Source organism: Homo sapiens, chromosome 16 (genome assembly GCF_000001405.40).
Source record: "Homo sapiens chromosome 16, GRCh38.p14 Primary Assembly".
Lineage (NCBI taxonomy): Eukaryota > Metazoa > Chordata > Mammalia > Primates > Hominidae > Homo > Homo sapiens.
The window spans coordinates 49936319-49954541 of NC_000016.10; positions in this window are offsets into that span (position 1 = coordinate 49936319).

An 18223-nucleotide genomic window follows, 5' to 3' on the forward strand; every position below is an offset into this window, starting at 1 on the left:
AGTCCCAGCTACTCGGGAGGCTGAGGTGGGAGGATCACTTGAATCCCAGAGGTTAAGGCTGCAGTGATCCATTATTGCATCACCACACTTCAGCCTGGGCAACAATAGAGTGAGAATCTGTCTAAAAAATAACATAAAATAAAATAGGTGGGGGCGCGGTGGCTCATGCCTGTAATCCTAGCACTTTGGGAGGCCCAGGCAGGAGATCACCTGAGGTCAGGAGTTCAACACCAGTCAGACCAACATGGTGAAACCTTGTCTCTACTGAAAATAAAAAATTAGCTGGGCGTGGTGGCACGTGCCTGTAATCCCAACTACTTGGGAGGCTGAGGTGGGAGAATACTTGAACCTGGGACGTGGAGGTTGCAGTGAGCAGAGATCACGCCATTGAACTCCAGCCTGGGCAACAAGAGCAAAACTCCATCTCAAAAAAATAATAATAAAAACAATAACAAATAAAAATTTAAAAATAACAATAAAATAAAAATCATGTGACAAGTGTGTATCAGGCACCTGTTGGGGTCCAGGCACTGTGCTGGGTGTTGGGAACACAAAAAGGCAGAGAGCACAGTCATGTACCCTGGGAGCTCACAGTCTGCTGGGGAGATGGGCAGGTGGACTCTTGATGGCATCACAGAGATGCTGTCACTGAGGGCATTCCAGGAACTAAGCAAACTTGGGAGGAAACGTCCGTCTCTGGGAAGTCTAAGGAGCCCTGGGAGAATGCGCCGCATCTGGAATGGGAAGGGGAATGCACTAAGGGGGAAAAGATTACAATTTTTTTAAGTGGGAGCAGGGAGGAGGCCGCAGCATGGGACCCTCATGGATAGGACAAGACCAGGCTGGAGAGGCGGACATGATGCTGAGTGCAAAGGTCCCTGTAAGCTGGGCTTAGGAATGTGGCTTTAGCCCAAGGACCACTGCTTCCCAAAGCTGTGTGTGCGCGCACACACACACACACACACACACACACACACATACACCCACACACAAATGCATCCACAGACCAAGTATGAGGAAAAACACTGCATGAACAGTTAGAACCCTACCATGTTGGATGTGCCCTTGGCCCCAAAGCAAACCAAACAGCAATGCACACGCTGAAATTGCACAACAGCGTCAGTATCAAGTAGTGATCTAGATCATCCAGGGTAAGCTTTGTCTTTTTTTTTTTTTTTTTTTTTTTGAGATGGAATCTTGTTCTGTTGCCCAGACTGGAATGCAGTAGTGCGATCTTGGCTCACTGCAACCTATGCCTCCCAGGTTCAAACAATTCTTGTGCCTCAGCCTCCCAAGTAGCTGGGATTACAGGCATGTGCCACCATGACCGACTAATTTTTGTAATTTTGGTAGAGACAGGTTTTCACCATGTTGGCCAGGTTGGTCTCAAACTCCTGACCTCAAGTGATCCACCCACCACCTCAGCCTTTCAAAGTGCTGGGATTACAGGCGTGAGCCACCATGCCTGGCCAATCCAGGATAAGCTTTTATTAAAAATGTCTCGAAGGTGATCATTAAAACCAAAGCATGAAATTAAGAGATCCTTATAGAACTCACACTCACCTTGATACATTTCATAGACCCCCAGGGGTCTGTGTCTCTAATTTGAAAAACATTTCCATAGGCGATGGAAGGCTTAAGTGTTGGGGGCCGGGAAGTCATAGGGGCAACTGGATTAGATGTCCAACATTTCCGGGACACCGAGTCAGTTGTATAAAAAACGATGCTTGTAGCAGTCTGAAAGGGCCTGGAGTGTGGTTCCTGGACATCTTCCATGTTCAAGGCCAGCAGCTCCCTGCTGCAGAGACTGAACAGAGAGTGGGACCCCGCCCTCCTGGAACTTGGATCCTGGTTGGAGACCTAAGACATGAGCCTCACCAAAGAAGAGGCTGAATACATCATTTTAAAAGCCCATGAGAAAGAGGCGGGATTCTATTGAGGGCAGATGATAGATGAGTTGCCTAGACTGCTCCCAGTGAGAAAGAAAGGTTTCAAGGAGAGGGAAGATGTATTAGTCCGTTTTCACGCTGCTGATAAAGACATACCTAAGACTGGGCAATTTACAAAAGAAAGAGGTTTAATGGACTTACAGTTCCACATGGCTGGGGAAGTCTCACAATCATGGCGGAAGGCAAGGAGGAGCAAGTCACACCTTACATGGATGGCGGCAGGCAAAGAGAGGAGAGCTTGTGCAGGGAAACTCCCTTTTATAAATCTATCAGATCTCATGAGACTTATTCACTATCACAAGAATAGCATAGGAAAGACCTGCCTCCATCATTAAATTACCTCCCACCAAGTCCCTCCCACAACACGTGGGAATTCAAGTCAAACCATATCAGAAGACTTCAAGACTTTAAAGATTGGAGGATGGAGGTGAGAGGAGCAACAGAGGATGGGTGGAAACAAAGGAATGAGTCCTGCTCCAAAAGGCACCCAGTTGCCAGTGGTGGGAGCAGAGGCACCACTAGGGCTGGCACGGGCATCCCCAGCTCACAGACCCAAGGCCTGAGCAGGACTGTGGCCTGGCCTGACCTCCTCCACCATCGGGGACCAAGAGATGACAGTCTGGATCCTGCAAGGCCAGTTCTGCAGATTTTAGTAGATTTTCCAAATTTAGGTCATTCCTACATAGCATTCACCATTTTCGCCAGATCCTTGCATCTCTTGTACTATTATTTATGTCCTATTTTTCTTTAAGTTGACTCACTTTTGAAATGTAAATAAGTCTATTTTAAAAGGAAACTTGGCATGACCATGGATGGAAAACCGGTGTCACTTGTCATAAAAGAAAAGTAATTGGGGGCCGGGCACAGTGGCTCATGCCTGTAATCCCAGCACTTTGGGAGGCTGAGATGGGTGGTTCACCTGATGTCAGGAGTTCGAGACCAGCCTGGCCAGCATAGTGAAACCCCTTCTCTACTAAAAATACAAAAAATTAGCTGGGTGTGGTGGCGAGCACCTGTAATCCCAGCCACTAAGGAGTTTGAGGCAGGAGAATCACTTGAACCTGGGAAGCAGAGGGTGCAGTGAGCCAAGATGGCACCATTGCACTCCAGCCTGGGCAACAGGAGTGAAACTCTGTCGCAAAAAAAAAGGAAAAGAAAAAAAGAAAAGTAATTGGAAAACTAAATACAGAACACAAACCGAACGGCAAAACAATAGGCTTATACTCCTTAAAAATAAGGAAGGCCATGCATGGTGGCTCATGCCTATAATCCCAGCACTATGGGAGGACAAGGCAGGAGGATCACTTGAGGCCAGGAGTTTAAGACCAGCCTGGACAACATAGTGAGATCCCATCTCTACAAAAAATACAAAAATGGGCCAGGCATGGCGGCATTCACCTGTAGTCCTAGCTACTTAAGAGGCTGAGGCAAGAGCATGGCCTGTGCCCAGGCGATCAAGGCTGCAGTGAGCTATCATTGCACTACTGTACTCCAGCCTGGGCAACAGAGTGAGACTCCATCTCTAAAAAAAAAAAAGATAATAATTTTAAAAAAAGTAAAAGAACCCAAAGAGACATAATAATTGAATATATTATGCAACCCTGAACTGGATCCTGGAGTAGGGAAAAGGTTGCTTTTAAAGGATGCTACTGGGAGAATTGGTGAAATACACATACATAGATAATAGCACCATATCGACATTAAATCTCCTAATTTTGATCATCACACTATGGTTAATAGAATAATACCCTTTTTCTTAAGTAAATGCCTCTGAAGTATCTAGGCATGAAGGACACTTACTGCAACTTACTCTCAAGTGGCTGAAAAAGCAAAAGAGAATTCAGATATTTTACATACATATATCTAATATATATGTCTATTTTATATATATGTAAAATAGTGACAGAGACATAAGGCAAATGAGGTAAAATGTCAATAATAGGTGAATGTGTGTGAAAATTATATGGGAATTTATTGTAGTGTTAGCATTTTTCTGTATGCTGAAATTTTCCAAAATAAGAGCTATTACAGCTGGGTGCGGTGGCTCACGCCTGTAATCCCAGCACTTTGGGAGGCCAAGGCCAGTGGATCACCTGAGATCAGGAGTTTGAGACCAGCCTGACCAACATGGTGAAACCCTATCTCTACTAAAAATACAAAATTAGCCGGGTGTGGTGGTGGGCACCTGTAATCCCAGCTAATCGGGAGGCTGAGGCAGGAGAATTGCTTGAACCTGGGAGATGGAGATTGCAGTGAGCTAAGATCGTGCCATTACACTCCAGCTTGGGTGACAGAGTGAAAGTTCGTCTCAAAAAAAAAAAAAAAAAAAAAGAGCTATTACAAAAGGCATATGTCCACACCTATGAATGGGGCTGCAACCACAGCAAGCACAGGGGAGGTGCTTAGCAAATATTCGCTGTTGAGTGAGGCTGGTACAAAAGTAATTGTGGTTTTTGCCATTACTTTCAATGGCAAAAACCGCAATTAGTTCTGCACCAAGCTAATAATAAAAATGTGTGTCTGTGTGCCCTCTAAAATTATCTCACATAACCACCAGTGGTTCACACTCCACACCTGGGGAACCCACTGTGTCAAGGGACAGGGGCATGAGCCAGGAGAAACTACTTGCAGAGACAAGCCACAAGGGAGGGTGAAAAGCATCATTCAGGGCCGTTCCAGGACAAAGAGTGTTCCTGTGCCCACTTCTTCCACCAAAGAAGAAGACAGGACAAGCAGACCCCAGGAGCTCCCGCCCCTGGAGATGGAAAGCACTACAAGAAAGCGGAGTGTGGCAAAGGCGCGACGGTGAGCGTAGCAGGGGTATGGAAAAGGAGTGTTTCTGTTTTCTTCTTACACACACCAACATTCCAATCCAAGGTAGTGGCTGAAGATAGTGTGAAGCTCAGCAAGTTCAACTCCAACTAAAAGTAATTGCTAGCTGGGTGTAGGGGCTCACGCCTCTAATCCCAGCAATTCAAGAGGCTGAGGTGGGCAGAACGCTTGAGGCCAGGAGTTTGAGGCCAGCCTGGGCAACATAGTGAGACCCTCATCTCTGCAAAAAATTAAAAATTAGTCAGGCATGGTGGTGCATGCCTATAGTCCCAACTACTCAGGAAGCTGAGGTGGGAGGATTGCTTGAGCCTAGGAGTTCAAGGCTGCAGTGAGCTATGATCATGCTACTGCACTCCAGCCTGGGTGACAGGGTAAGACCTTGTCTCTAAAAAAGAAATAAACAAAAAAAAGCAATTGCTACTTTGGTGGGGAAGAGCATAAACAAGCTGTCATTATAAAATGAAGTGAGGGGAGGCTGAGGCAGGAGAATGGCGTGAACCCGGGAGGCGGAGCTTGCAGTGAGCCGAGATTGCGCCACTGCACTCCAGCCCGGGTGACAGAGCCAGACTCCATCTCAAAAAAAAAAAAAGAAGTGAGGTGACAGCACCCAAGCAGGAAGACCTGACAAGGTCAACGCTGGCTCCTGCCTCTTCCCACTCTAAAGGGGAATCTTTTGAAAGGAGAAATCCAGGTGCCTGCTGTCAATTCTTGACCTGTCACCAATGAAAACTCATTAATCTAGAAATAGGCCAGGTGTGGCTTACTTCTGAGTTCAATGTGAGACTCACCATTATTTTACATCACAATAGCAAACAAAACTGCCAACTCTGTGAGATGCTGATATGGTTTGGATGTGCATCCCCTCCAAATCTCATGGGCTTTCCTCTCTTTGAGTGTACGTGATGTCAATTAGTATGATGAGATACACTTTCAGTTTGTCAAAAGAGAGATGATTCAATTGAAAAATGGATCAAGGACTTAAATGTAAGATCCAACACTATAAAACTACTAGAAGAAAACATAAAGGAAAAACTCCACGATACTTGGGCAATGATTTTTTTTATATGATCCCAAAAGCACAGGCAACAAAAGTGAAGGAACAAATGAGATTACATCAAACTAAAAAGCTTCTATACAGCAAAGGAACCAATCAACAGAGTGAAGACACAACCCACAGAATGGGAGAAAATACCTGCAAACCACACACTTGATAAGGAGTTAGCATTCAAAGACATGAGGAACTCAATAAGCTCAACAGCAAGGAAACAACCTAACTCAATTTTAAAAATGGGCAAAGGAGGCTGGGCACAGTGGCTCATGCCTGCAATCCCAGCACTTTGAGAGGCTAAGGTGGGAGGATCACTTGAGGCCAGGAGTTCAAGACCAGCCGGGGCAACATAGTGAGATTCCATTTCTACTTAAAAAATGGGCAAAGGACCTGAACACATATCATTTATCAAAAGAAGACATGCAAATGGCCAACAGGTATATGAAAGAATGTTCAACATCACTAATCACCAGAGAAATGCAAATCAAAACCACAATGAGATATCATCTCATTCCAGTTAGAATGGCTAATATCAAAAAGACAAAAAAATAACAAATACTGGAGGGATGTAGAGAAAAGGGAACTCATACACTGCTGGTGGGAATGTAAATTAGTACAGGCATTGTGGAAAACAGTATGGAGGTTTCTCAAAAAACTAAAAGTGGAACTACCATAGATCCAGCAATCCTACTGCTGGACATTTATCCAAAAGAAAGGAAATCATTATATCAAAGGGATACCTGTGTGGTATATATACACAATGGAATACTATTCTGCCATCAAAAAGAATGAAATCCTGTCATTCATAGCAACATGGATGAGCCTGGAGGACATTATGTTAAATGAAATAAGCCAGACACAGAAAGATAAATGGCACATCTTCTCACTCATATGTGGAATCTAAAAAAGTTGATCTCATAGAAGTAAAGAGTAGAATAATAGGAGAATCTTAGCATAGAAGCAGAGAATAGAATATCACTTACCAGGGCTGGGCACAGTGGCTCATGTCTGTAATCCCAGCACTTTGAGAGGCCAAGGTAGGTGGATCACCTAGGTCAGGAGTTCAAGACCAACCTGACCAACACGGTGAAACCCCATCTCTTCTAAAACTACAAAAAAATTAGCTGGGCATGGTGGCACATGCCTGTAATCCCAGCTACTTGGGAGGCTGAGGCAGAATTGCTTGAACCTGGGAGGCAGAGGTTGCAATGAGCCAAGATTGCGCCACTGCACTCCAGCCTGGGCAAAAAGAGTGAAACTCCGTCTCAAAAAAAAAAAAACACACACAAAAGAAGGATATCACTTACCAGGGGCTTGAATGAGGGGTGGATATTGATCAACGACACAAAATTTCAGTTAGGAGCAATATATTTCAGAGATGTATTATATAACACAGTTACTATAGTTAATAATGTATTGTATTCTTGAGAATCATTAAGAGAGTAGATTTTAAGTGTTCTCACCACAAGAAATAAGTATGTGAGATAACACGTTAATTAGGTCAATTTAGCCATTCTGCAATGTATACATATTTTAAAACATCATGTTGTACATTATAAATATGTATAATTTTAAAAATAGGGCCAGGTGTGGTGGCTTACACCAGTAATCCCAGCAGTTTGGGAGGTTGAGGCAGGCAGATAGCTTGAGCTAGGGAGTTCAAGACCAGCTTGGGCGACATGGAGAAACCCTGTCTCTACAAAAAAATACAAAAAATTAGGTGAGCGTGGCAGCACACACCCGTGGTCCCAGCTACTAAGGAGGCTGAGGTGGGAGGATTGCTTGAGCCTGAGAGGTCGAGGGTACAGTAAGCCAAGATCATGCCACTGCACTCCAGCTTGGGCAACAGAGCAAGACTGTCTCAAAAAATAATAATAAAGTTATATGTATATATAATGTATAAATATATATGTGTGTGTATATATGTGTATATATATGTGTGTATCTACACACACACACATACACACGTATAAAAATGCTGCATGGGTGAGTGTGACATAGGCAAGCTCTTTAACAGGTGAAGCATCAGAGACTCCTGCTAACCTGGGAGAAAGCAAACAGCCACAGGGAGAGAACAGGGCCACGTGGAAGGGACCTGAGGACGACCTCTAGGAGTTGAGTGGGGTTTCCTGCTGACAGCTAGCAGGAAAATAGGAACCTCAGTTATCTGGCTACAGGAAATTAATTCTGTTGACAACCAGGGAGTATCACAGGCCCTGCCGATATATTGATTTTCAGTCTGGTGAGACTGAGGACTCAGCTAATCTGTACCCAGACTCCTGACCCATGGACACCTTGAGATAATAAATTTGGGTTGCTTTAGGCTGCTAAGCTTGTGGTCATCTGCTACACAGCAATAGGAAACTAAAACATCCGCATATCAAAGGACTCTGAATGATCTGGACAGAGGTTCTGGCCAGGTTCTTGTCAAGGCTTACGCAGCAGCTCAAGCCTGCTTTGTGATGAAAGAGATTTGAAACAAATCTGCTAAAGCAGAAAATGAAAATGTAAGTAGTAGGCTAAAGAAATCCAGTAAATTCTTTCTTATCCAAATCAGTGTCTATAATGACACTCCAAATTTTCTAGGCTAGAAAGCATCTCATTGGACTTACTTTCCAAATGTTAGCCTCGTCTTCTAATGTATAGCTTGAAGACAAGCATGAGTGTTTAGCCAAGTTACAAAATACTTTTATTTGTAAAATTCACACCATGAGTTTTCATTTTATTCCCATCTAATAGCAGAAACCCAATTGTGTTATTTCTTATTGAGTAACAGGAATGATGAAATTGGCTCTAAACCTTGTTGCTCTATAACTGAAAAACAAAACCAACTTACATCAAAATAAAACTCCCTTTTGCTTAAACAGCAAGATTACAAATGACCTAAAATGTCTATCAATAAAGACTTAATTGGCTTCCTTGGTAAATCAAGTAATACAAAGCAAAAATATATATAAAGAAATTAATAAATGTAAAAAAAAATTAAAAGACCAAATGAGGTAAATTACGCACATCTAATACTGGGGAGTAATTTGCAATCATTAAAAAGAGGCAATAGTATATCTGATATACAATCATTTCCAAGATATAATGGAAAAAACAAAGGGGTAGAATAGCATTTATAATATGTTACCATTTATGTATGAGTTCACATACACCTGCCTGTGGATAAATATCTCTAGAAGGAGACACAAACTGTTAAGCTACGAAAGAGAAGTGGAAGAACTACTTTTTGCTGTTTACCTTTTGTTTCTTTTGAATTTTGTATCATGTGTATGTATCATTTATTTTTTAAAATACTAATTTTCAAAAAACAAGGAAACAAGCCAACATCACAGAAATCTGTGCTTTTTTTTTTTTTTTTTTTTTTTGAGACGGAGTCTCGCTCTGTCGCCCAGGCTGGAGTGCAGTGGCGGGATCTCGGCTCACTGCAAGCTCCGCCTCCCGGGTTCACGCCATTCTCCTGCCTCAGCCTCCCAAGTAGCTGGGACTACAGGCGCCCGCCACTACGCCCGGCTAATTTTTTGTATTTTTAGTAGAGACGAGGTTTCACCGTTTTAGCCGGGATGGTCTCGATCTCCTGACCTCGTGATCCGCCCGCCTCGGCCTCCCAAAGTGCTGGGATTACAGGCGTGAGCCACCGCGCCCGGCCAAATCTGTGCTTTTAAAAATATACAAACTAGCCAGGCGTGGTGGCTCACACCTGTAATCCCAGCATTTTGGAAGGCCGAGGTGCGCAGATCACCTGAGGTCAGGAGTTCGAGACCAGCCTGACTAACATGGTGAAACCCTATCTCTACTAAAAATACAAAAATTAGCCAGGCATAGTGGCAGGCGCCTGTAATCCCAGCTACTCAGGAGGCTGAGGCAGGAGAATCGCTTGAACCCAGGAGGCAGATATTGCAGTGAGCCGAGATCATGCCATTGCACTCCAGCCTGGGTGACACAGCGAGACTCCATCTCAAAAAATAAATAAAATAAAATAATATATATATACACACACACATATATGTACACACACACACACATACACACACACAGAAACTGTCTTCAAATCCTTAACTCAAGTTACTGTGCTGATCTTGTTCTACTAAATTATTTAGATGACTATTAAAAAAAAAAAAGTCTTTCAGCCGAGTGCAGTGGCTCATCCCAGCACTTTGGGAGGCCTCCTTTGGGAGGAGGATCACCTGAGGTCAGGAGTTCAAAACCAGCCTGGCCAACATGGTGAAACCCCGTCTCTACTAAAAAGACAAAAATTAGTTGGGCATGGTAGAGTCCACCTGTAATCCTAGTTACTTGGGAGGCTGAGGCAGGAGAATTGCTTGAACCTGGGAGGCAGAGGTTGCAGTGAGCCAAGATCCCGCCACTGCACTCCAGCCTGCCTGGGTGACAGAGTGAGACTCGTCTCAAAAAATAAATAAATAAATAAAGTCTTTCGCCCTGTAGATGTTACTGATTCATCCAACTCTGAAAGCCCCTAGAAAGTTTCTGAATATTTATGTGCAAGGGAGGGCTCAAGAGTCCCTGAGGAAGTCTCTGTAAGACAGGAGAAGGGCTCAGTGACTAACACCCAGGAAACACCAGCGCCTGAAGACAGGACCTCAGGACAGGACTCAAGGACTTCACCAGAATGAGTTTCTCACCATCCTGTCCCTCTATCACCTGGTTTGTGACCCCTGACTAGGGACTCCTTCCCGCCGCGTCGCCCATTTTGTAGAATGATAAGACATGAAATGAAACATCAACAGAGCAAGCCGAAGTGCTCTCAGGCCAATGGAAAGACTTCACACGTGAAGGAAAGACCTCAGTTCACATAATCTCAGGAGATTCCTTGAGCCAAAGGAAAGGACGTTTCTTTTGAAAGTTGTAGAAAGGCACCCATCCCAAGCTCCTCATCCTTATCTTTAAAATTCTATGATATATATATATATTAATATATATAAATATATTTTTTTATTTTTATTACTTTATACATTTTTTTGAGACAGAGTCTCGCTCTGTCACCCAGGCTGGAGTACAGAGGTGTGATCTCAGCTCACTGCAACCTCCACCTCCCAGGTTCAAGCGATTCTCCTGCCTCAGCCTCCCAAGTAGCTTGGAATACAGGCATGTGCCACCATGCCCGAGTAATTTTTTTTTGTATTTTTAGTATAGACAGGGTTTCACCATGTTGGTCAGGCTGGTCTTGAACTCCTGACCTCAAATGACCTGCCCACCTCGGCCTCCCAAAGTGCTGGGATTACAGGGGTGAGCCACTGTGCTTGGCCTAAATGTACATATTTGTAGAGACAGGATCTTGCTCTGTCACCTAGGCTGGAGTTCAGTGACATAATCATGCTTCCTACAGCCTCAAATTCCTGGGCTCAAGCAATCCTCGTGCCTCAGCTTCCCAAGTAGCTGGAACTGTAGGCATGTGCCACTATGCTTGACTGTTTTTTTTTTCATTTATTGTAGAAGTGGAGTCTCACCATGTTGCCCAGGCTGGCCTCAAGTGATCCTCCTGTCTCAGCCTCTAAACATTTGGGGAATACTGGTGTGAGCCACCATGCCTGGCCTCTATAATATATTCTTACCAATCCTCCATAATCCCCAAATTAGAAGACAGATGAATCTATTTGCTTATTACTGACTGCTATGGGTTGAATTGTGTCCCCCAAAAAGATATGTTGAAGTCCTAATCCCTATTACGTCAAAATGTGACCTTATTTGGAAATAGGGACACTACAGATGTAACTAGTTAAGATGAGGATATACTGGAGTAGGATGGGGCCTCTAATCCAACCAAGAATGTCCTTAAAAGCAGAGGGAAATGTGGACAAGAACACATGCACAGAAGAATGATGCCATGAGGTCACACAAGGAGGACGGCCATGTGATATGGAGGCAGAGATGGGAGCGGCACATCTACAAGCCCAGGAATACCAAGGACTGCTGGCAACACCCGGAACTGGAAAAGCCACAGATGGATTCTCTGCCATGGGTTTCAGATGGAGCATGGCCTGGCCTACGCCTTGACCTTGGACTGCCCAGCCTCCAGAACTGTGAGGCGATACATTTCTGTTGTTTTAAGCCACCCAATTTGTAGTACTCAATTACAGCAGCCCTAGGAAACCAACACACTGACAAAGGCATCTTTGTAAGTCTTCCCCAGGCCATTTCCTAAACAGAAAAACAATGAAAATGAAAAAGGTGTTCAGCATCATTAATCATCAGAGAAAAGCAAATGACAACCATGACAAATGTCTCATCCCCACTCAAAGGCTAAAATCAAACACTGACAACACAGAAGTGGGTGAGGATATGGATCCACAGATATTGCCAGTGGCAGCGAAAATGGTAGAACCAGTTGGGTGACTCTCATTACACTAAGCATCCATCTCTCCTACGACTCAGCAATTCCACTCCTAGGTATTAACCAAGCAAAATGACAATGTATGTCCACAAAAGGACATGTACAAGAGTGTTCATAATTATATTAGTCAAAAAGTGTAAACAACCCCAAAGTCCACCATCAGGAGAAAAGATAAACATACAATAACCTCCTGCTCAACAACAAAAAGGAATGGTCTACAGGCTCATGTGACAAGATGGGTGAACCTCAAAAGCATTCTATTAAACAAGGGAAGCTAGTCTCAACAAAATGTATAATGCATGATTCCACTTACATAAAATATAAGAACAGAAAACCTAGGTCATGGGAGTCAGAAAACGTTTGGAGGGGATGGTGCGTGCCTGGAAAGGGACACAATAAGACATTATGAAGTGATGGAAACATCTATAACTTGTTTCGGGTGCAAGTTATATGGGTATAATTTTCAAACCTCACTAAACTGAATGTTTAAGATCACACACCTCTGGCTGAGTGCCATAGCTCACGCCTGTAATCCCAGCACTTTGGGAGGCTGAGGCAGGCAGATCACCTGAGGTCAGGAGTTCGAGACCAGCCTGGTCAATGCGGTGAAACCCTGTCTCTATTAAAAAGACAAAAATTAGGCAGGCGTGGTGGTGGGCGCCTGTAATCCCAGCTACCTGGGAGGCTGAGGCAGGAGAATCGCTTGAACCTGGGAGGCAGAGGTTGCAGTGAGCTGAGATCACACCACTGCACTCCAGCCTGGGCGACAAGGGCAAGATTTTGTCCCAAAAAAGAAAAAAAAAGGAAGAAGAAAAAAATAAGAAGAAGAAGATGAAGAAGAAGAAAGATGAAAGAAGAAGAAGTAGTAGTAGCAGTTAGCACACCTCAATTAAAAGGGAGGGCAGAAATTAGCCAGGTTGGTGGCGAAAACCTGTTGTCCCAGCTACTCGGGAGGCTGAGGCACGAGAATCACCTGAACCGGGGAGACAGGAGTTGCAGTGAGCCGAGATCACCCCACTGCACTCCAGCCTGGGTGACAGGGTGAAACACTGCCTTAAAAAAAAAAAGGCAGGGGGAGGGTAGGTCAAAGATAACAATTGAGTCAGGTAAAAACCGATAGACACAACTAGGTAAAAGCTGGTAGGGGGCTAGGAGCGGTGGCTCACTCCTATAATCCCAGCACTTTGGGAGGCTGAGGTTGGCGGAAAGCTTGAGTCCAGGGGTTCAAGACCAGCCTGGGCAACATGGTGAAACCCCATCTCTACAAAAAATACAAAAATTAGCCAGGCATGATGGCATGTACCTGTAGTCCCAGCCACTCAGGAGGCTGGGGCAGGAGGATCACCTGAGCTCAGCAGGCAGAGATTCCAGTGAGCTGAAATCATACCACTGCACTCCAGCCTGGGTGACAGAGTGAGACCTTTTTTTTTGTTTGAAAAAAAAAAAAACAGGTGGGGAATGGTTGGTGGGGAACAGGATATTTGCTTGATGCCAGGAAAAAACCTACCTGCACCAGGCAGTCACCACCTTACCCAAGTGACCAAGCATAGGAGCTCTCCCACCAGGACGACAGTCATGTATGTTTTGATACGAAGCCACATAAACAGGCAGCACCATCTATGAAACCCCCTTGCCGAAAATGTACAGCCTGGCTAATCAAGCCTCTAGGCCAAACTTCTGGGATACAGAAAATACAGGGAACAGAGGAACAGTTAAGTGACACCAAGAGGAAGCCATCAGACACGTAACAGATGCAGGAGGTTCTACAAAACAAGGGAAAGGCGTGGACTCAAAGTCAGTATCATGAGAAAACAAAAAGAGGTAAGAAGGCTGTTTTAGATTAAAAGAAACTGAAGACATATAAAAACTACAGGTAATGCACAAACCTTGATTAAATCCTAGTTTTAAAAAGAAGCCATAAACGCATTCTTGGGATAACCGGGGAAATTCAAATATTAGAACTAGATATTAGAGATTATAGAATTGTCATTAATTTTTAAGGTGTGCTAATACTATCATAATTACATAGGAGAGTGTTCCCATTCTTAGGAGACACATGCTAAGATACTTAAAAGTGAGAGGTCATAAACTCTGCAACTTATCTTCACGGTTGAGGAAAAAGTTAAATGTACACAGACATATGTATAAGTTTTTACAAAAATATCATGTTAACTTTTGAATCTCGATACAAGATATATGGGTGTTCAATGTACTATTTATTCAAATTTCTTTATATTTAAAATGTTTCAAGCCAGATTTGGTGGTGTGTGCCTATTGACCCAGCTACTAGAGAGGCTGAGAAAGGAAGATGGCTTAAGGCCAGGAGTTCAAGACCAGCTTCAACAACATAAACAAGACCCAGTCTCTAATTTACAAAAAAAAAGTTTCATAAGAAAAAATGGCCAGGGACGGTGGCTCATGCCTGTCATCTTAGCACTGTAGGAGGCCTAGGTAAGCAGATTGCTTGAGCTCAGGAGTTTGAGATCAGCCTGGACAACATGGCAAAATCCCATCTCTCCAAAAAGTACCAAAAATTAGGCAGGCATGGTGGTGTGCACCTGTAGTCCCAGCTACTTGAGGGGCTGAGGTGGGAGGATCGCTTGAGCCCAGGAGGTTGAGGCTGCAGTGAGCCGAGATCACACCACTGCACTCCAGCCTGGGTAAAAGTGAGACTCTCAAAAAAAAAAAAAAGGTAAAAAATAAACTGGAACATAATAAAATAAAAAGGGGTCTAGATCTAAGTGGTACCCAGAATAGGATCCTGAAACAGAAACATTAGTGGAAAAATTGGTGAAATACAAATAAAATGTGTAGCGTAGTTAATATTGCTGTGCTAATGTTAATTTCCTAGTTTTGACAAATGTACCATGGTTATATAAGATGTCAGCATTCAGAGGAAGCTGGATGAAGGGAACTCCCTGTACTATCTCTGTACATTTTCTGTAAATTTAAAATTATTCTAAAATAAAAAGGTTTTAAACAAGGGTAACCAGTATGTAAAAGTTAGACATTTTTATTGTATTTTAATACGCACATAATTGAACAACTGCGAGGCCTACTGTCTACAAAATGACTTTCCACAAATATCTAGTTCAGCACAGACCCCAAACGTGAAAAAGTTTCTATGGGACCACGTTTCAGACAGACGGAAGCCACATTTGTACTCACAGCCTGGACATCAGTGCTGCAGGCCAGGCAGGGGCCTTCAAGGAGGGTGACGCCACCAACTGGGCAGAAACCACCTTGTTCTCCAGGCTCGGTGGAGCTTCCCTTAGTTCAGCAAAGACACAGGCTGAGCTGCCCACTCCTGTGGCTCTAACTGCAAAGGAACTGCGAAGAGGAGGAAACCGCAGCATCGGCTCACATCCAACCATCAGTCGGAGTCAGTTCCCCCAACCACACCAACCAGCCTTTGCAGGCAGAATTGGATTAACCAAGCACCAACAGACAGATATCTGTGCAATTCTTGGAAAGTCGAGAAGATTTTCATTGATATGATCTCATTTAGGCCAGGCGCAGTGGCTCACGCCACAGTAATCCCGGCACTTTGAGAGACCAAGGTGCGCAGATCACCTGAGGTCAGGAGTTCAAGATCCACATGGCCAACATGATGAAACCCTATCTCTAATAAAAATACAAAAATCAGTGGGGGGCGGTGGCGGGTGCCTGTAGTCCCAGGTTCTTGGGAGGCTGAGTGAGGCAGGAGAATCACTTAAACCCCGGAGGCGGAGGTTACAGTGAGCCAAGATTGTGCCACTGCACTCCAGCCTGGACAACAGAGTGACAACCTGTTTCAAAAACAAAACAAAACAAAACAAAAAAATCTAATTTAATCCTGATGACAGCCAAAGAATATGGGACATCTACCCTACCATCCCCCCACCTTCAATGAGTCCTAAACCCTTGTCACCTGAAGGTCCCTCTCTAAGCAGGAGATCACGGTGCCTTCTCCCCTCCAGGCACCCAAATACTTGACTTCCTCCGAGGCTGGCTCTTCCATTAGGCTTCTGTGGCTTCACCCAGACCCGCACTAACAACTTCACTCCTTCCCTCTGAATTTCTACACTGTGATGAATCAGAAGATGTGAGTGACATGAAAACACTTCTGGCATTTTGTCAAAGGGGGGCTGTACTGGCTGGGCATGGTGACTCATGCCTGTAATCCCAGCACTTTGGGAGGCTGAGACAGGCAGATCACTTTAGCCCAGGGGTTCAAGAGCCTGGGCAACATAGTGAAACCCCATCTCTCCAAAAAACACAAAAATTAGCCAGGTGTGGTGGCGCTCACCTGCAGTCCCAGCTATTTGGGAGGCTGAGGTGGGAGGATCGCTTGAACCCAGGAGGCAGAGGTTGCAGTGAGCCAAGATAGAAATCGAGCTACTGCACTCCAGTCTGGGTGACAGAGTAAGACCTTGTCTAAAAAAATAAATAAATAAAGAGAGAGAAAGGAATAAAGAAAAGAAAGAAGAGAAGAAAGAGAGAGAGAGAAAGAAAGAAAGAAAGAAAGAAAGAAAGAAAGAAAGAAAGAAAGGAAGGAAGGAAGGAAGGAAGGAAGGAAGGAAGGAAGGAAGGAAGGAAGGAAGGAAGGAAGGAAAGAAAGAAAGAAAGAAAGACAGACAGAAAGAAAGAAAGAAGAAAGAAAGTAAGTAAGTGTGGGCTGTGGATGTGGTTGAAATCCAAGAAAAAATCTAAGATTTTCTTTGAAAGCAACATCAACTTGATAACATGTATGTGCCACTGGGACTGTGTGGTGGTGAAGAGCCCAGGCAGGGGGGTCACAGGGCCAGTGTGCAGTCTCAGCTCCACCAGACACTACTGTAGCAATGGGTAGAATGGTGTGATGTTTTTACCAAGAAATTCGTTACTTAGTTTTTCCCCCTCCTTTCTTTTTTAGAGTTGCAAATGCACTTAAAAAAGGAAATATATCTCTTTCACAAATGGGTATGATTCTCGATTGCTATAAAGTAAGAAGGTAACTAAAAAAAAGCACAAAACAGTGTTACTAAATTCCTGCCCAATAAGCTTAAGGGTTGCTCTTCGCTGGTTAAAAACAGGGGTTACTAAAGGTCAAGGAGGTGTTCGTGGCATACCGACACTGCTAGAAACCCTCTCCTTGACTTGTTCAGAAGGATTGCAAGAGGTTGCCAAAGGGAACATCTTCTTTTTTGTTTGTTTTTTTGTTTTTTGAGACGGAGTTTCGCTCTTGTCGCCCAGGCGTGACCTTGGGCAGATTAATACCCTCTGTGCTTTAGGTGACTCCTCTAGCCTCATCTTCTCTGCTGCACAGGAGAAAAGGCAGCACCTGAGGAGGTGAGAGCTGGCCAGGTCTTCATTGAAAAGGAAGATAGAGAAAAAGCCTTGATTCTCCTGCAGGCTCCAGCCTAGGGCTGGGTATTGGTCAGTACCTTAAACATGGCAGATCAGACTCCTGTCGTCCTCCCAGGCAGGGGAGGGACTGTGTGCTTCCCTGAGCCAGCAGATACGGGGCATCCACATCTCCAGAGGACTTAAGGATTCACAGGCCCATGATCCAGACACTCAACCTCATTAGAAGATGTCTCCTTTGCCAGCCGGGCATGGTGGCTCATGCCTGTAATCCCAGTACTTTGAGAGGCTGAGGCGGGCGGATCACCTGAGGTCAGGAGTTTGAGACCAGCCTGGCCAACATGATGAAACCCCATCTCTACCAAAAATACAAAAATTAGCTGGGTGTGGTGGTGGGCGCCTGTAATCCCAGCTACTTGGGAGGCTGAGGCAGGAGAATCGCTTGAACTCGGGAGGCAGAGGTTATAGTGAGCTGAGATCACGCCAATGCACTCCAGCCTGGGCGACAAGAGTGAAACTCCATCTCAAAAAACAAAAAAACAAACAAAAAAGAAGATGTTCCCTTTGCCAACCTCTTGCAATCCTTCTGAACAAGTCAAGGAGAGGGTTTCTAGTAGTGTCGGTATGCCACGAACACCTCCTTGACCTTTAGTAACCCCTGTTTTTAACCAGCGAAGAGCAACCCTTAAGCTTATTGGGCAGGAATTTAGTAAC